We start from the raw sequence: 20,668 nt of genomic DNA, 5'->3' as shown, positions 1-20,668 counted from the left end.
TATTAAATATCAATCACTTGGAAAAATATATTGATTGCATGCCTCCTGTGAACAGGTACCTGACCAAAGCAATCTGGATATGCAAAGGAACTGAAAGATACAGAAACTGGCATTGGGAAGTGCATAATAGAATGCAAAAGATACAGGAACATGCTGGCTGATGGGAAAATTGGGGAAGTGCATATTTTTAAACAGCCCAACAGATAGTGAAATTGTTAGGGGCGCAGTAAATGTGCAGTAAATTACAATTAAATTGAATGATAGGCCACTAACCATGTAAACGATCTTGGGCAATATAGGGTGTGAACAAGCTTTCAAAGAACATGTCACACAGAAATGATTAGGTTTTTACATTCAATAAATTTAGTTAGCATAGATTGGTTAAGAAAATACTAAACTTCTACTGGGTATGAGACTTTCTAGATGCACTGGACATATAGAGATGAGTAAGAACTGGTCACTCTCAGGAAGCTCTAGTCTATTCTGGGAGGCGAAAAGAAATGGAGAAAATATTTCTCAGAGCTCCATTTTGCTCTTCATAAATCAGTAAATATTAGGGAATGCAGGTTGTGAAACACTGATCTACAAATCCTTCAACCTCACAGTTCTCCAAGGGGTGCAAAAATTTCCAAAAACTATTGTTATGATAATAATCATTCATATCAATGTCTCTGCCTTCTAACCCCTCCTTGGCTTGTCCCAATAGAAACCAATGTGTAATTTTATTAATTGGAAGACTTGAGGAAATGAAACTACATGCTTTTATCTGTATGCTTTTATTTTTTTCCCTAAGATATACATTTGATAGTCAACCACATGGACAAATTTTTAGCTTCAAAGGTATAGTTTAAAAATTATTTTCAGTGTTCTATGATAAAAGAAATATGGAGAAGGAGCTGTACTTCATCAAAAATTTCTTTTAAAAATATTGTTTGGTAAAAGTAACAAATTCATTATCTTAAATGTTGTTTTAAAAATGTAGAGATATATGTAGAACCAATAGTGTTTATTCATGAAGAAATTTGATGCTCTTTTTCTTTTTTCAACATTCACAACTAGTTCTACAAAAAAAAACTCACAGTGGAGTTTAGGAGATAGTGGGGTTTCATGTTTTTGTTTTGTCCATAAATATTTTTGTGTTAGCATGTTTAGCTCTGTGAAAATCATTGTCACATTGTTTATCCTTAGCATTGTAAGACATGCATTATTGCTTTCACCCTGATAGTGAAGAAAGAGAATTGTGGGGTGTAGTTCTTAAATGGCAGGTCAAAGTACTGAATTCAGATCCTCTGACTTTTTAAATTCTAAATTGATTCCACCCCCTCACAATTTCCACAGTTTTTCAAAGATGTTATTGAGAACAAAGGCAAGTAATGAAACAAAACCGCTTTGGGTTCTCATGGGATCAGCAGACTACAGAGGTATAAAATACATAATGCCAAGCTAACTGCCTTTGAAATGAATACAATCTACTTAGTTTAGGTGTCTGGTGGGAATTATGTTACCCGAACTAGTTAAGTTATTTCTATGCCTATCTTAGTCAGAATTATCAGAAATGAGAACTGATTTTTATCAAATAAATTGAGCTATCAATTCTGATGATCATATATATATTGTTTTGTATATTATTTTGGTTGACATAATATAGTTACATTTTATTGAAATATTTATACATACATGTAAATGGTTTACAGTTAAATAGATCAGGTGTTTCATTCTTAGTTTTATTTTTAATATGGAAAATATCAATAAATAAGTACTACATACACAAACTTTAGGATCTTCAATATTTTTGAAGACAGTAAAAGGGCTCTGAGACCAAAATGTTTAAAAACTGCAACTCTAGAACTATTCTTGTTGCTAAGTTTTTAGAGCTAAAGTGTGAATATAGTCTTGCACAGTTGACAAATAGTTTGGTCTCAGGCTTAGGAAGCCTGAAACTCGGGACCAGTTCTCCAGCGCCAAGATAATTTGTCTCCCTCCTCAACCTATAAGAAGTTGAAAACACACACTGTTTCTTCCACCCTCCACCCAAGTGAGAAAAGGGAAGACTGAGTTTGGAAGAAGGTGAGCATGGAGAAGTTGAGCCATCAGTGCCACGTAGTTATGTTTCTGGTGTCAAAGGAGGAACTTCCAAAGTCACGCATTGAATCATCCTGTTGCTAACTGATGGAAAATATGTTTTATTTTATATAAAATTTTAATGTTTCTATTTCTTTACACAGTGCTTTGTTGCTATTTCTCTCTTCCCCAAGCTGAATTAATTACAATTTTCTTATGCTTTGGTATGTGTGCTGAGGTACTTGCTGGTCATCCAGGAATTATATGTCCTATGTCTAGTCTTTCTTGTGGTTACAATCTACAGAGTTTTTGAAAAGGTATAGAAATGACAAACTAGAAAATCTTGAAAACATTGATAAATTCCTGGACACATACACCCTCCCAAGACTGAGCCAGGAAGAAATTTATTCCCCGAACAGACAAATAACAAGGTCTGAAATTTAATCAGTAATAAATAGCCAATTAACAATAACAGCAACAACAAAAACCCAGAACCAGATGAATTCACAGCTGAATTCTATAAGATGAACAAAGAAGAGCTGGAACCATTTATACAGAAGCCATTCAAAAAAATTGAGGAGAAGGGAGTCCTCAACAACTCTTTATGAGGCCAACATCAACCTGATACCAAAATCTGACAGAGACACAACAAAGGAAAACTTCAAGCCAATATCCTTGAAGATTATTGATGCAAAAATACTTAAGAAAATGCTAGAAAATCAAATCCAGCAGCACATCAAAAAAACTAATCCACCACGATGAAGTAGGCTTTATCCCTGGGATGCAAGGTTGGTTCAATAATATGAAAATCAATAAATGTGATACATCACATAAACAGAACTGAAGACAAAAACCAGATGATTTTCTCAATAGATGCAGAAAAGGCTTTTGATAAAATTCAACCTGTCTTCATGTTAAAAACTCTTGATAAACTAGGTATTAAAGAACACTTCTCAAAATAATAAAAGCCATCTATGACAAACGCACAGCCAACATCATAATGAATAGGCAAAAGCTGAAAACGTTCCCCTTGAAAATTGGCAGAAGACAAGAATGTCCTCTCTCACCACTTCTATTCAACATAGTATTAAAAGTCCTAGCAATCAGGCAAGAGAAAAAAATAAAGGACATTGAAATAGGAAGAGAAGTCAAATTATCCCTGTTTACAGAAGACAGGATTTTACATCAAGAAAACCCCATAGTCTAAGCAGAAATGCTCCTTCAACTAATACACAACTTTAGCAGTTTCAGAATAAAAAAATCAATGTAAAAACTATTTCTGTACACCAACAACAGCCAAGTTGAGAGGCAAATCAGAAACACAATCTCATTCACAATTGCCACAAAAAGAATAAAATACCTAAAAATACAGTTAACTGGGGAGATGAAATATTTTTACAAGGAAAACTACAACACACTGCTCAAAGAAATCAGATTGACATAAGCAAATGGAAAACATACCATGCTCACGGATAGGAAGAATCAACATTGTTAAAATGGCCATACTGCCTAAAGCAATTTACACATTCAATGTTACTTCTATCATATTACCAATGGCATTCTTCACAGAACTAGAAAAAAACTACTTAAAATTTAAAATTCATATGGAGCCAAAAAAGAGTTGAAATAGCCCTAGGCAATCCTAACCAAAAAGAACAAAGCTGGAGGCATCACACTACCCAACTATACTACAGGGCTACAGTAACCAAGAGCATGGTACTGGTACAAAAACAGATGCATAAACTAATGAAACAGAATAAAGAGCCCAGAAATAAAACTGCATATCTACAACCACCTGACCTTCAACAAAATGACAAACACAAGCAATATTCAATAAATGGTGCAAATATATCTGGCTAGTCATATGCAAGAGATTGAAACTGGATTCCTTCCTTGTACTATATACAAAAGTCAACTCACAATGGATTAAAGACTTAAATGTAAAACACAAAACTTGAAAAGCCCTGGAAGGCAACCTAGGCAATACCATTCTGGGCACAGTCATGGGCAAACATTTCATGACAAAAATACCAAAGCAATCACAACAAAAGCAAACACTGACACTGACAAAAGAAATCTAATTAAACTATAGAGCTTCTGTACAGCAAAATAAACCATCAATAGAGTAAACAGACAACCTATAAAATGGGAGAAAATATTTACAAACTATGCATCTGACAAGGGTCTAATATCCAGCATCTATAAGGAACTCAAACAAATTTATAAGAAAATTAAAAAGTAGGAAAGCGATATTAGCAGACAATTTTAAAAGAAGACATACATGCAGCCAACAAGCCTATGAAAAAAAGCTCAACATCACTGATCATTAGAAAAATCCAAACAAAAACCACAATGAGATACTATCTCACATCAGTCAGAATGGCTATTATTGAAAAGTCAAAAATAACAGATGTTCACGAGGTTGAGGAAAAAAGGTAATGCTTATACACGGTTGGTGGAAATGTAAATTAGTTCAGCCATTGTAGAAAGCAGTGTGGGTATTTCTCAAAGACCTGAAATCAGAACTACCATTTGACCCAGCAATCCCATTACGGGGTATATACCCAAAGGAATATAAATCATTCTGTCATAAAGACACATTCACATGTATGTTCATCACAGCACTATTTGGTAAAGACATGGAATCATCCTAAATGCCCATAAATGGTAGGATGGATATAGAAAATGCGGTACACATACACTCTGTAATATTATAGTATTCAACCATAAAAGAGAATGAGTGCATGTCTTTGCAGCAACGTGGATGGAGTTAGAGGCCATTATCCATAGCAAACTAAAACAGGAACAGAAAACCAAATCCTGCATGTTTTCACTTATAAGTGGGAGCTAAATTATGAGAACACATGGGCACATAGAGGAGAACAACAGACACTGGGATCTTCTTGAGGGTGGAAGCTGACAGGAGGGAGATGATTAAAAAAATAACTATTGGGTATTAGGCCAAGTACCTGGATGACGAAATAATGTATGTAAGAAACCCCCCATGACACAAGTTTACCAATATAACAAACCTTCATATGCACTCCTGAACCTAAAATAAAAGTTAAAAAGATGAATATGAAAAAGTAGGCCCAGGCATGGGGGCTCATGCCTAAAATCCCAGCACTTTGACAGGTCAAGGCAGGCAGATTGTTTGAGCCCAAGAGTTTCAGACCAGGTTGGGCAACATGGGAAACCCCATCTCTACAAAAAATACAAAAATTAGCTGGGTGTGTTGGCAAGTGGCTATAGTCCTAGCTACCTGGGAGGCTGAGGTGGGAGGATCACTTGAGCCCAGGAAGCTGAGGTTATAATGAGCAGATATTGTGGCACTGAAATTCAGCCTGGGCAACAGAGTGAAACCCTATCTCAATAAAACTAAATAAAAATAAAAATAAATCAATAAACCAATAAAAAATAAAAAGGTCTAGAAATGAAATAACATATAGTTTGAATAATTACTTCCCAAATAACACAAGATACTTCGAACATTTTTAGTTGCTCACTTCCTCCTCCAAACTGCTATTTTGATAAGGCCTTCTTCAGTGTAATTCTCAGATTATTTTACATTTTGCCTCTTTCTTACCAATTACTTTTGACAATTACACTAATTTTCATGGCTGTCTTACTGATAATTATTTCTACCTACCTATAGTTTTACTGCTTTTCTATTCGGCACACTTTTCTCCATGTTAATTTTTCCAAAGTTTTAGAATTATTTTTCCCTAGAGAATATTTCTAAGTTATGCTCTCAGGCAGAATTCATGGATGGTAACATTTTGAAGAGTTTCTATATCAAAACTATATTTCTTCTGTCCTGTCCTGCACACCAGAATGATAGGCCTAAAGGGAAGATAGTACATATTTGTTTGGGATGGTGGTAGTACATTTCCATAGATTCTGTCATGTTCAGTATACTTTTTCCCTAGATTATAAATACACATTAACTCCAAACACTACCATATTGTCTATCCTATTGCAACTCTAGCTCCTTCTTATGATAGCCTAGTTTTTATACAGAAAAACAAACAAATGTGCAAATAAACAAAAGCAACTATACTCTTAGGTTGAGCATGAAGGCCAATATCAGAAGTAGCTGCTCTGAGATGGAGCAGCTAGTTTTTCTGTGTTGCAAACCCATCATTTACTGTATTTCATGGAACACAGAACTTAAGACATCAGCAGTTATGGGGTATATCAATTTCCTGAATCACTACAAAGAAAAATTGCTGACAATTAAAGTATGATATTGCATGGTTTTAAGACACATCAGAATTGTTAAATAATGTTAAAATGTGAAATTTTGCAAAGCTGAAAATTGATGGTATGTGGTAACTGTTTGACTGCTCATAGCCCTCTCCACTCTATCCCCAGATTTTGCTACAATATATTTTGGAGGATCTATTCCTAAAAATTTCTGGGGAAAGAACCTTTATTTTTTTAAGTCCTCCTTCTCTGTCTCCTTTCCTAATCCAGAAGTGGCAAAGTATTGCAATACTGTAGAATATTTTAATTCAAAGTGTAAACTAATTTGAATTTACAGTGTCAAAGAATGCAACACCTTTGAAATAAATCCATGGGAAGAACACAATAGAAACAAATCCACGATTTGCATTATATTTCCTGATCTCTGTTGATAAAATTCAAAGAAAAATAATACTGAGTTTAGCCAGCTTCCACTTAAGAGGATGTTTACATGTATCATTACAATTTTGGATCTCTCTGCAAAATAGTGTTGTTATATGAATTCTGTGAAATACATAATGAATTTTTATACATTTGACTTCAAGTTCAAGGTGAAATAAATGACTTGAATTCATGTAGTGGAGGGACATGAAAGGGAGTATAAAGCAAGATCTAAGAGAGGTGGAAGGTTTCCATTAACGTCAGTAGATTGTAGAGAATAAATAGAAAATGTAGGTACATGATTGAGGCATCATTGAAACACCTGAAAATGGCCCTGAAGTTCTTGCCAACAGGTAGTTGCCTTGTTTGGAAAATATTTCTTATCTAGATTACAGGACTCTCCCGATATTCAATTAGATCCCTTCCTTCCTTCCTTCCCTCCCTCCTCTTTCTCTTTTTCTTTCTTTCTTTCTGTCTTTCTTTCCCTCCTCCTCCTCCTCTTCCTCCTCCCTCCTTTTTCTTCTTCTCCTTCTTCCTTCTTCCTTCCTTAGAACTGGAAGAATTCATGTATTGATGAAAAACCAGGTTGATTGGTAGCAAAACAGTCCTTAATGGAAGTCTTATTAGTAAGACATACCCTCACTATGGAACCATTAAAATTTGATAAAACTTTCCTTATTATTTTGAATATATGGATTATAAATTTGTTCTGGCTTAGGACATTAGTGATACGCTCATAAGCTTTATTTTCTGTTATAATTCCATTTAATTCAGCATTCTTCTTTATTTAATGTTCTATATGATATAGATGGTGGTGAGCAGTATTCATTGATTCCACCTTTGGTCATATAGTTAAATGTAGGTGTACATACATGAGAAATCAGGCCACATACTAGAGATTTGGGGTTAATAAATGAAACATACTAAGTCACTGTTAGCTTAGATTTAGGAATAACCTCAATCTTAGACCAGTATTATTTTATGTGATAATGCTAGCACATTCACATTTAATATTATAAATATTATCTAACTCTGACTTGCTTTCAAGACTGATAGACACACTTTACCATTTAGTATTGTAGTTGCTTTACCAGATTCTGGAAAGAAACCAAAGATAAACAAGAACTGGTCCTTATTCTGGAGAAGTTCACATCTTTTACAGCCATAAGGTAAGTCCTCCATCTAAGAGCCCTGTTCCTACACCTTTGCAGTGTGCATTTGTGCTGCCTCTCATGCCACTCCCCTTCCACACCCCCCACCGGCAAAAATGGTCCTGGTACACAGCATAACAAAGTACTTGGAATTATATTCACAAATAATAAACTACAATAATGCATTGCTTTTCTCATATATCAGTTTCTTTGTAAATTTGACACAATAAGATCAACTGGTGCTTGTTTGAAAAGACAGTATGTTAATGGAAATACCAATTCCATAACTGATTTTGCTATTTTCTCTCTGCCTGCTAGCTATTGGAAAAGAAAAGCTACTCATGCTTAGACTGACAGAAAAAACAATATCTAGGGTTTATTCTGCATTCAAGTAGTCCAGTTTGGCCACAATTTTAATCTGGCCCAAGTAAAGAAACTATACAAGTTTGTGCGTCAGAGACTGCAGAAGGAAAATGGCATCTGACTACCAGAGCTCCATCTTCTGAGATCCCCTTCTTGGCTTTATTCCAGTGAAAAATGCAAGATCATAGTTGGCTGCTCAACACTGGCAAGAAGAAGGTGAACAAGGTAAAACACTGATAAATCTTCTGAAGCTTCCACTAGATAGGACCTAGCATTCATGACTAGTATGACATTCCTATGGGTGGATGGGTGGATAGATAGATAGATAGATAGATAGATAGATAGATAGATAGATAGATAGAGGCTTTTTCCTGATTATAATTAATGCACTTTTTTCTTGTTTAAGCTGGACCTGCTCCTTTTAATTTTGTAAACCTATAGGAACACAAGACCTGAAACTTTTAGTGAACATAAAAATCACCTAGAGGATTTGTGGAAAATGCCTATGCATGGGTCCTACCCACTGAGTTTTTAATTAGTAAATTTGGTCTAAGTCCCATGTCTCTCATGCAGGTATATTGAGTTTGACATTTTATGGAAAAAATGAGTACATTTTAAATAGAAATGATATAGACTGCTAGAAAAGAATGGCTTAGATACTATGATCTGAACTTACAGCTTTGCTGCTTCTTCACATGTAGTCATAATAGGTAGCTGGTGGCCGGGTGTGGTGGCTCATGCCTGTAATCCTAGCAGTTTGAGAGGCTGTGGTGGGTGGATCATGAGGTCAGGAATTCCAGACCAGCCTGACCAACATGGTGAAACCTCGTCTCTACTAAAAATGCAAAAATTAGCTGGGCGTGGTGGCACATGCCTGTAATCCCAGCTACTCAGGAGGCAGAGACAGGAGAATTACTTGAACTTATGTGTATCTCACTATTAAATAATTCCTACAATCTTATTTATCAGGCAGGCTTCCATAACATAAAAGGAGAGTTAAGAGTGACTCACATAATGTGGTCGTTGATAAGATATAAAAATATTGCTGGCAGTCATTATAGGTTTAAGAATAGACTGCAATTGGACCAGTGGATCTCAAATTTAGTTCATCCTTGGAATCATTTAGGAAAAAAATGATTTATAAATTATAACCCCCTCCCCCCAGAGATTCTGATTTTATTGGCCCAGGGTGTAGGTTGGTCAGCAAATTTTTTAAATTGTCTCAGGTGACTCTAACACATGAGCAAATTTGGGGACCACCGCATGGAACCAATGCCTTACCCCAACAAAAACGAATTACCAACAATAGACAGTAGTATTATTTCTTCACTGAATGCTTACAGTTGTTTTATCCTTTTAACTACTTTTAAACATATTACAAAAGTATGTGTTTCTTTGTTTTGTCTGGAATTAATCCATTGTTATTAAATTCAGCTGAAAGTTTTTTTTGTTTGTTTCTTTTTCATGTTTTTGACATCTAGTAAGAGTGAAATAAGGTTGAAAAGACCAGCCCTGATGAAGGACCAAGGACTAGAATACTGATTCTTTCGAGTAGACCAGGAGTTCTCAATTTCTGGGTTTCTCAATAAGATATTTTGAATAGAGAGAAGGAAAATGACATTTTAAACTTACACTTCTTGCTTCTTTCAGTTAGAGTGACCTCCTAAATGTGGTGATAAGGAAATAGATATCTTAGCAATTTTTGAAAACTCAGGCAAAACTGTTTTTTGCATATCATAAAATAAATTATAATGAAGAGGGTGTATTTTTAAATTAAAAATCTCTATTTGGGATTTTTGTGATATCATGTTGAAAATGATACATTTCAGGAAACTGAGATTTTTCTAAACACAGTTTCTTTTGTCATCATGTCTATTTATATTTCGATTCTTGGTTGTACTATCATTTTTTGTTTTCCAACATTTTATGGAAATTCCTTCAAACAAATTTTACATAAAGATATGTAAAATACACAACTTAATACGTCCAAAATTTTACATGTCTTCATCTATTGAAAATGTAATTCAACTTGAGAGGTGTTTTAGAAATGAATTCCTAACACAGAGTGAGATACATGTGAAATCAATGTTGGCAACTTTTAATCTGTCCAAAGTTCTGTTTCTAATTTTAAATAAGTAGTTTTTCTAAATAATTTCACTTAAACTTCAACATTTAGAAAATTACTTTACCTCTTTGTGTCTCAGTTGTCTCAATAATTGTTTCAGGATAATGATAAATTTGTAATGAGTGTTAATTGAGCTAATATTGAAAGATACCTTCTGATCTATTAGGTACAGTCTTTTATTTTTTTATACTTGGGGGATACAAGTGCAGTTCTGTTACATGGATATACTGTGTAGTGGTGAAGTCTAGGCTTTTAGTGAAGCCATCACCTGAAAAGAATATACATTGTATGCATTAGTTAATTTCTCACCCCTCCCCACTTCCTCTCACTCTATTGATTCTTCAGTGTTTATTATTCCACTATGTCCATGTGTACCCACTATTGCACTCTCACTTACAAGTGAGAACATGCTATTACCAATATTCCTTTAACCTGCCCACCATATTGGTCTTTAGAGGTATTAGAAAAGAAAGCTCTTGCTCTATAAATGACTCATAAGAAATCTCGGAAAAAAGGAATCTGGGCTTCATGTCTATCTGACAACAGACAAATATTGGTTGTAGATAACTAAATATCTTTATCTTGCAGAATATTTGCCCTATATGAATCCAATTAAAATTCAAAAGAGGCTAGAAGACTTTCATTCAGAAAATTTGAAAGGTAGCATTCTTTTTTACTCCTACAGAGGGATATGTACAATGACCAAGACCTACCAATACTTTAAACTTTTCACTCATTATCTGTAGATAAAAAGTGCTATCAAAGGTGTTAAGTTCATGAGTCAAGCTCGTCCCATCCACCAACCACACTGAATTTAGGGAAGGTCTCTTCACCTGACATTGCCCAGATAGTGATTTCATTTTATGTGAATTTTCTTGGAGCTAAATTATTTTATAAATCAATTGATACATTTCTTAACACAGGTGAGAAAATGTGTCATTAAATCCAAATGTGTTATTTAATATAAAAACACACAAATAATTACTTATTTATTCAATATTTAATATATAAAGATGTGTAAGACAATGTGAGTTTTATCCTAATAGAGGAAACACAGAAACAAACATATAAAAAAACTAATACAATATAGTAAATACTATACTTGAGATGAGCTCAAGGTTTATTAGTAATTCAGAAGAAAGAGAAAATATTTAGTATACAGTAGGCAGGAGGAGCATGAATAATTTATTTATTTGGTAATGTGGTAGACTGGAAAAGACCTCTCTACCCAGAGATTGCTTTTATCTCTTGAAAAAAAAAAAAAAGGCAATGTTTGAGATCTTAGCTAAAGGCTTAGACCATAAGTGACTATGATGAGCAGAGCTCCCTTGCTTCCAAAACATTTTTGAACTCCTAAGAATATAAGATTGTTTATTACTGCAGCATTGCTTAGCCCAAAGCATCTCAAACTTTTGTGTGTATATGAATCACCTGGGGACTTTGTAAATATATAGACCTCGACTCAGTAAATCTGAGTAAAAATTCTACATTTCCAACCAGCTCCCAGGTGATTCTGATGCTGCAGATTCAAGTACCACATCTAGCGTAGCAAGGCCTAGCCTAACTGGCTGTTAAGTGACAGTAATGGCATTGTATCCCAGTATTTCTACTCTACGTTTAGGGCTTATTTCCCAGATGTCATCACTGAATTACACTGATGTTTGAACTATAGGTAGCAATCTCCAAGTGAGTAATAAAATCATGTCATAATCAATAAAATCATAACCAACAGTTAAAAAGAGAAATCAGAAAAATTACAAGAATAAAATAGAATTAAGCAGAATATAAAGTTATCAGGTTGCATACAGGCAATAAGAATAAATATTGTTTTGGGAAAATTCACAAGCTATATATTCTTGAGCACTTTGTAAAATATAGGAAAGTTGAAATGTTTTAAATCGAATGATTTATTAGTTAATATTCAACAATGGTTAGAAATGTTAAAATAATCTTTGGGTAATTGTTCTTGGGCACACAGCTGAACACATTCCCTAACCTTCCTTGCAGTCAGATATGGCACTGTGATAAGGTTTTAGCCACTACGCTGGGTCATGAATAGTATGATATTTTTATTCTTGATTCACTGATACTTCCACAAGAGATCTTTCAATCTTTCATTTTTCTTCCAATTGTAGGATAAAACCTAGGTGATTTTGGAAGACATATTTTGATAATGATAGAGTCCCTGCAAACCTGAATCTCACCAACATGGAGACACTTTGAGCTTTACATTGAAGCAAAACATAATCTATTACTGGGGCCTACTTAGTACAGCAGTTAAAGTAGCTTAAACAACTCACATAAACATACCGAAATAAAAATCTGTAATGGTATAACTGCTCTCAGCTCTATGAACATTTCTCATTTTTTTTTTTTTTGCATAAAAACCAAAGTACTTACTCTAGATGACAACAGAGTGAGTGACATGGCCTCTAGCTAGGGCACAGACCTCATTTTATAACTCTCCAAATTCTCCTCAGCTGGATTCCAGTCACACTACCTTGCTATTCTTTAATGGATTCCCTTCCAAGGACTTTTGCACATTACATTTTATCTGCCTGGAAAACTATTTCACCAGGTATTTGCATTATACTTCTACATGCTTACAGCCCAGATGTTTCTCACATGCTATGAATGCTTCTCTAATAATTTTTTTCTTATTTTTAGAAGATTTATAGCCCTTTTTGTAGATAACGTGACTTTATCATTGACTTTGGTGGTGTGTAGTTATACTGCAATCTGGATGTGGAAATATTTATTTATTTTGATTGGTTGGTATCTACGAGACTTCTTGAATCTACATATTTATGTGTATCATCAATTGTGGTAAACAATCAGCAAATATCTCTTCAAGTGTTGTGCCTTTCCTTTCTCTCATCTGGAAACCCAGTTTGAATTTCATGTATTTTTATTCTACCATTTGGAATTCGTTATTTCTCTTTAATATTTTAAATTTCATTTCTCTTTGCTATATTCAGAATTAGCTTTTTTCTATATATACTGGTTTACTAATTATTTTTGACTTTGTCAAACTTCCTCTTTAATACTTCAACTGAGTTCCTGAATTCTATTATAGTTTGTCTTCATTTCTAGAAGGTTAATTTTTTTTCCAAATCTGTAGACTTTTTGAAATCATTTATTTCTTATACATATTTTGATGTACTCTCTTATTTCTTTGGACATATCAAACATTTAATATTTTCTTTCACAAAATTTTAATATCTACACAAGTCTGATTCTGCCATTATGTTTGATGACTCTTAGTCACATTGGCTAGTTTGCTTATGTGTTTTGTGATTTTGAATGGCAAGCTCAAAGCCTATTAAATTTATCTGTGCAAAATATTTTAGCCTAGTTAACAAATATTAGATGTACATCTTTGGGGGTACATAAAATGAATGAATGCATTAATATAATCAAATTAGGGTACTTGGGATATCCATCACTTTAACTACTTATCTTTTCTTTATGCTGGGAACGTTTGAATTATTTTCTTCTAGATATTTTGAAATGTGCAATAGATTAATGTTAACTATAGTCACCCTAGTGATATAGATAACAGCAGGTATTATTTGTCCTAACTTTATATTTCTAACCATTGATCAAATTCTCTTCATTCTCCCCTCCCACCTCCACCTGCTGTCATCTGGTACCTACCAATCTACTCTGTATGTTAATGAGATTCATGTCTTTAGCTTCTACATATGAGTGAAAACATGTGACTTCCTTTTTCTTTTCTTGGTTTATTTTGCTTAACCTAATGACCTCTTGTTCCATCCATCCATCACCACCCCATGATTAAAAGACATCATTTCAATTGTTGCAACTGAATAAGATTTTGTGTGTGTGTGTGTGTGTGTGTGTGTGTGTATCACAAGCCTGTCCAACCCAAAGCCCACAGGCTTCATGTGGCCAAGGATGGCTTTGAATGCAGCTCAACACAAATTTGAGCTTTCTTAATATACTATGAGATTTTTCTCAATTTTTTTTTTAGCTCATCATCTATCATTACTGTCAGTGTATATTATGTGTGGCCCAAGACAATTTTTATTCCAATGTGGTCCATGAAAGCCAAAAGATTGGACTCTCCTGGTGTATCACATATATGTGTCTGTGTCTGTGTGTGTGTGTTTATAAATGTGGAATATATATGTGTGTGTGTGTGTGTGTGTGTGTGTGTGTGTGTGTGTGTGTGTGTATAAGCATTAGTTCATTCTCACACTGCTGATAAAGACATACCCAAGACTATTTATAAAGGAAAGAGGTTTAATTGACTCACAGGTCAGCATGGATGTGGAGGCTTCAGCAAACTTATAATCATGGTGGAAGGGGAAGAAAACATGCCCTTTTTCACATGGTGGCAGGAAGGAGAACTGCCAAGCAAAAGGTGAAAAAGCCCCTTCTGAAACCATCAGAACTCATGAGAACGCATTCACTATCACAAGAACAGCATGAAGGTAATTGACCCCATGATTAAATTACCTCCCACCAGGTCCCTCCACAACACATGGAGATTATATGACACATACAATTCATATATGAATTCATTTTTAGGTGGGGACACAGAGTCAAACCATATCACTTCACCCCAGCTCCTCCCAAATCTCATGTCCTCACATTTCAAAACACAGTAATGCTCTTCCAGCAGTCCCCCAACAATCCCCCAAAGTCTTAACTGATTTCAGCATTAACTCAAAATTCCAAGTTAACTCAACATTCCAAATTAACTCAAAAGTCCACGTCTAAAATCTCATCTGAGACAAGGCAAGTCCCTTTGCCTATGAGCCCATAAAATCGAAAGCAAGTTAGTTACTTCCTAGGTACAATGGGGGTACAGGCATTGAGTAAATACACCTGTTCCAAATGGGGGACATTGGCCAAAACAAAGGGGCTACAGGCCCCATGCAAGACTGAAATCCAATAGGGCAGTCATCAAACCTTAAAGTTACAAAATGATCTCCTTTGACTCTAACTCTCACAGCCAGAGCATGCTGATGCAAGAGGTGGGCTCCCAAAGCCTTGGGCAGCTCTGCTACTGTGCCTTTACAGGGCGCAGCCTCCTATCAGCTGCTTTCATGGGCTGGCATTGAGTGTCTGTGGCTTTTTCAGGTGCACAGTGCAAGCTGTTGATCAATCTATTATTCTAGGGCCTGGAGGACAGTGGCTCCCTTCTCATAGCTCCACTAGGCAGTGCCCCAATGGGGACTCTGTGTCGGGGCTCCAACTCCACATTTCATTTCTGCACTGCCCTAGCAGATGTTCTCCATAAGGCTCTGCCCCTGCAGCAAACTTCTGCCTGAACATCCAGGCATTTCCATACATCCTCTGAAATCTAGTGGAGCTTCTCAAACATCAATTCTTGACTTCTGTGCACCTGCAAGCCCAACACCTCATGTAAGCCACCAAGGCTTGGGGCTTGCACCCTCTGAAGCAACATTCTGAGTTATATGTTGGCTCCTTTAAGCCACCTCTGGAGCTGGAGCAGCTGGGATGAAGGGCACTATGTTCCAAGGCTGCATAAAGCAGAGGGATCCTGGGCCCAGCGCATGAAAACATTTTTTCCCTCCTAGGCCTCCAGACCTGTGATGGGAGGGGCTGCTGTGCTGTGGTGTGAGGGACTTGTGATGAGAGGGGCCGCACAGGTGATTAACATTCTGCTCCGCATTACTTATGCAAATTTCTGCAGCTGGTGTGAATTTCTCCCCAGAATATAAAGTTTTCTTTTTTATTACATCATCAGGCTGCAAATTTTCCAAAATTTTATGCTCTGCTTCCTCTTGAACACTTTGCTGCTTAAAAATTTATTCTGCCAGGCAGGGCACTATGGCTCAGGCCTATAATCCTAGCACTTTGGGACACCGAGGCAGACAGGTCACTTGAGGTAAAGAGTTTCGAGACCAGCCTGGCCACAGTAGTGAAACTCTGTCTCTACAAAAAATAGAAAAATCAGCTGGGCTTGGTGGCTTACACCTGTGGTCCCAGCTTCTTGGGAGGCTGAGGCAGGAGAATCACTTGAACCCGGGAGGCGGAGGCGCAGTGAGCCGAGATTGCACCATTGCACTCCAACGTGGGTGACAGAGTCAGACTCTGTCTAAAAAGAAAAAAAAAAAAAGAAAGAATTTTTTTTCTGCCAGATACCCTAAATCATCTCTCTCAAGCTCAAAGTTCCACAGCTCTCTAGGGCAGGAGCAAAATACCACCACTCTCTTTGCTAAAGCATTAACAAGAGTCACCTTTGCTCCAGTTCCTAACAAGTTCCTCATCTCCATCTGAGACTACCTCAGCCTGGATTTTATTCTCCATATCACTATCAGCATTTTGGTCAAAGCCATTTAACAAGTCTCTAGGAAGTTCCAAACTTCCCCACATTTTCCTGTCTTCTTCTGAGCCGTCCAAACTGTTCCAACCTCTGCATGTTACTCAGTTCCAACGTCACTTCCCCATTTTTGGGTATCTTTACAGCAGCACCCCACTACCTGGTACCAATTTACTGTATTAGTCCATTCTCACACTGCTAATAAAGACATATCTCAGACTGGGTAATTTTTAAAGGAAAGAGGTTTAACTGACTTACAGTTCATCATGGCTGGGGAGGCCTCAGGAAACTTACAATCATGGCGGAAGGGGAAGCAAACGTGTCCTTCTTCACACGGTGGGAGCAAGGAGAAGTGTCGAGCAAAACAGGGAAAAGAACCTCATGAAACTGTCAGTCAGGGGTCCGTCCCGCAGACTCTGACCGAACCACAGATGAATAATGTACACTGACACAGATATTCTGCCTGTCAGTCTGGCTAAGAGTCCAGGCCCCTCACAAACACCGAGGAAGGTGCTGTAAAGAGTAGCAGTCGCAGTCCTGACTAGCTGACCCTGCCGGCATTTATTCAGCACACTTTAAATGATAAAGGCTTTGAGTCAGCACACCTGTGGGTAACTAATTTTGTTGCCCTCCCCCTGAGAGAGCCATCCTGCCCATGAATAATCAAAGGTTAGTCTTAGGGCCACATGAGTAGGCAAGCTATTTAGATAAACTCCCTTACATTCCTTTGTACCTGCCTTAAACTATTTACTCAAGTTACCGGTTAGGCTGCCTTCAGCCAGATCTATTACTGGAGCTTATGCAAACCCTCTGGCCTTCCAAGATTTATGTGTATTTCTCTAACTATCTTTAAAATGTTTCCCACCAGACTGACTGAACTCCCACACCTCAGAACTCATGCGAACTCACTCACTATCACAAGAACAGCATGAGGATAACCAACCCCATGATTAAATTACCTCCCAACAGGTCCCTCCCATGACACGTGGGAATTATGGAAACTACAATTTAAGGTGAGATTTAGGTGGGGACACAGAGCCAATTCATATCAGTATGTAAATGTGGTATACCTGTATGAAGAAATATAAATATTTCATAGATATCTATGAAGAAATGTGATATTTATATGTACACAAACAAATACATAAATCACTTTTTTATTTATTCATCTATTCATGGGCATTTAGGTTGATTTCATATTTTTGCTATTGTGAATAAAGTTGAAATATACATAGGGGGACAGATATCTCTTTAATATTGATTTTATTTTAAATACATCCAGCAATGTGACTGCTGGATCTTATGGCAGTTCTATTTTTAGTTTTTTGAAGAACTTATGTAGTGTTTTCCATAGTGGCTGTCCTAATTTAGATATCTTCCAACAGTGTATGAGAATTTCCCTTTCTCCACATCCTTACCAGCATTCATTAATTTTTTTTGTATTTTGGATAAAAGCTACTCTAACTAGGATGAAATAATATCTTATTGTTATTTTGATTTGCATTTTTCAAATTATTAATGATGTTGAGTATTTCTTTCATATATCTGTTGACCACTTACATGAGAAATGTCCATTCAGATTTTTTGCCCATTTTAATCAGACTATATTTTTGCTATTAAGTTGTATGAGCTTCTTATATATTCCCCTTATTAATCCCTTGTCAGATAGATATGTTGAAACTATTTTCTCCAATTCTGTGAATAGCTGCTTCACTTTCTTGTTTCCTTTGTTGTGCAGCAACTTTTTATTTTGATGTGACCATATTTGTCTATATTTGCTTCTGTGTCTGTGTTTTGAGGTTCTAAAAGTAATTATTTGCCAAAATCAATGTCCTGGAATGTCCCCAATGTTCTCTTCTAGTAGTTACATAGTTTCAAGTCTTATACTGAAGTATATAATCCATTTTTGATTTTTGTATATCGTGAGATGTAGGGGTCTGCTGCATGTAGTTATTCAGTTTCCATAGCACTATTTATTCAAGAGTGTGTCCCTTGCCCAACATATGTTCATGGCACCTTTGTCAAAAATGAGTTGACTATAAATGTGTGGATTTATATCTTGGTTCTCTATTCTGTTACATTAACTTATGTGTCCATTTTTATGCCAGGGCCACACTGATTTGGTTACTATAGCTTTGTAGTATATTTTGAAGTCGGGTAATGTGATGTTTCCAGTTCTATTTGTTTGACTCAGGATTGCTTTTGCTGTTCCAGGTCTTTTGTGGTTCCACACAAATTTCACAATTTTTTTCAATTTTTCTGAAAAATTTTATTAGTATTTTGATAGATATTGCATTAAATCTACAAATTGTTTGGGTAGTATTGCCAATTTCAAAATATTAATTTTTCTAATCCATAAGCATGAAACACTTTTTTCCCCTGTCTTTTCAAGTGTGTTTTGAATTTTATTTTTATAGACATTTTATGTTTTGGTTAAATTGATTTTAGGTTATTTTATACTCCCTGTAGCTTTTATAAATGGGATTGTTTTCTTGATTTTTTTTTGTGGGGAGGATCATTGGCTATTGGTGTATATAAATGTTACTGATTGTTGTATGTTAGGTTTGTGTCCTGCCACTTTACTGAGTTCATTTCAGTTCTCACCATTTTTTGGTGGAGTCTTTAGGCTTTTCTAAATGTAAGATTATGTCATCTCTAAACAAGGTTAATTTGACTTCTTCTTTGCAATTTGCATGCCTTTTACTTCTTTCTCTTGCCTAATTGCTCTGGCCACAATATCCAGTAGTTTGTTGAATTAAAGTGATAAAACTGGGCATCCTGTCTCATTACAGATTGTAGAGAAAATTATTTTAATTTTTGCCCATTCAGTATTATATTCGGTGTGAGTTTGACGTAGGTAGTCTTTATTATTTTGCTGTATTTTCATTCTATATTCAGATTATAGAGGATTTTTATCGTAAAGAGATGTTAAATTTTATTAAATACTTATTTCATCATCTATTAACATGATCATGTGTTTTTTTTTCCATATATTTGTTCATATGTTTGGTTCTCCATTTTGTTTTGTTCTGTTAGTGTCATATATCACTTAGATTGATTTGTTTATGTTGAACCATTCTTGCATCCCAGGCATAAATTCCACTTCATCATGGCAAATGATCTTTTGATCTTTTTAATGTGTTTTGAATTCAGTTTGAGGATCATTTGTTGAGGATTTTTGCATCTATGTTCATTAGGGACCACTGGCTGTAGTTTTTGTGTGTGTGTTATGTCCTTATCTGCTTTTGGACCAGGGCAATGTGAGCCTCACAGGATAGATTTGACAGTGCTCTCTCCTCCTGAATTTCTTTTTAAGAATTAGAGAAGAATTGGTATCAGTTCTTCTTTAAATGTTTGGTAGAATTTAGCAGTAAAACCCTCAGGTCCTAGAATTTTCTTTGACAGGAGTGTATGTGTCCAGAAATGTATCCACTCCTTCTAGGTTTTCCGATTTGTTGTCATACTGTTAATTATAGTCTCCAGTGATTCTTTGTACTTCTCAGTTGTTATGTCTGTTTTCTCATTTCTGATTTTATTTATTTGAGTTTTCCCTTTTTTTCTTAGTCTAGCTTTCATTTTCATTATATGTGTGTCCTTAAAGCTAAAGTAGGTCTCTTTCAGTCAGCATACAATTGGATGTTTTTAAAAAGAATTCATTCTCCGCTTGTATGTCTTTTGATTGGAGAAGTTAGTAAATTTATATTTAAAGTAATTGTTAGTATATTTAAAGTAATTAAAGTAAAAGTAATTATTATTAAGACTTACTATTGCCATTTGATTAATTCTTTTACATCTATTTTGTAGTCCCTTTTTTTCTTTCTCATTTACCATCTTGCTTTGTAATTGGATGCTTTTTCATAGTGATATGCTTTGGGTTTTTGTTGTTTGTCTTTTATTATTATTATTTTTTTGAGAGAGAGAGTCTCGTTCTGTCGCCCAGGCTTGAGTATGCTGCAACATCCACCTCCCAGGTTCATGAGATTCTCATGCCTCAGCCTCCAGAGTAGCTGAACTACAGGCATGTGC

At 35.6% G+C, this 20,668-nt stretch overlaps 2 annotated features.

Annotated features, from left to right (window-relative positions):
* Nucleotides 16,854-17,743: an enhancer, noted in NCBI's record as "OCT4-NANOG hESC enhancer chr17:51138562-51139451 (GRCh37/hg19 assembly coordinates)". NCBI's record gives its function as "activates a minimal SCP1, AML or CMV promoter by ChIP-STARR-seq in naive and primed H9 embryonic stem cells {active_cell/tissue: H9 hESC(naive and primed)}" and the evidence as "EXISTENCE:reporter gene assay evidence [ECO:0000049][PMID:30033119]".
* Nucleotides 17,102-17,396: a silencer, noted in NCBI's record as "tiled region #8115; K562 Repressive non-DNase unmatched - State 24:Quies". NCBI's record gives its function as "represses a minimal TATA promoter and a strong SV40 promoter by Sharpr-MPRA in K562 cells {active_cell/tissue: K562}" and the evidence as "EXISTENCE:reporter gene assay evidence [ECO:0000049][PMID:27701403]".

Source organism: Homo sapiens, chromosome 17 (assembly GCF_000001405.40).
Source record: "Homo sapiens chromosome 17, GRCh38.p14 Primary Assembly".
NCBI classification, from domain to species: Eukaryota; Metazoa; Chordata; class Mammalia; order Primates; family Hominidae; genus Homo; species Homo sapiens.
Note: the sequence above shows the minus strand (reverse complement) of the source record. Positions and strands in the feature narration are given on the sequence as shown.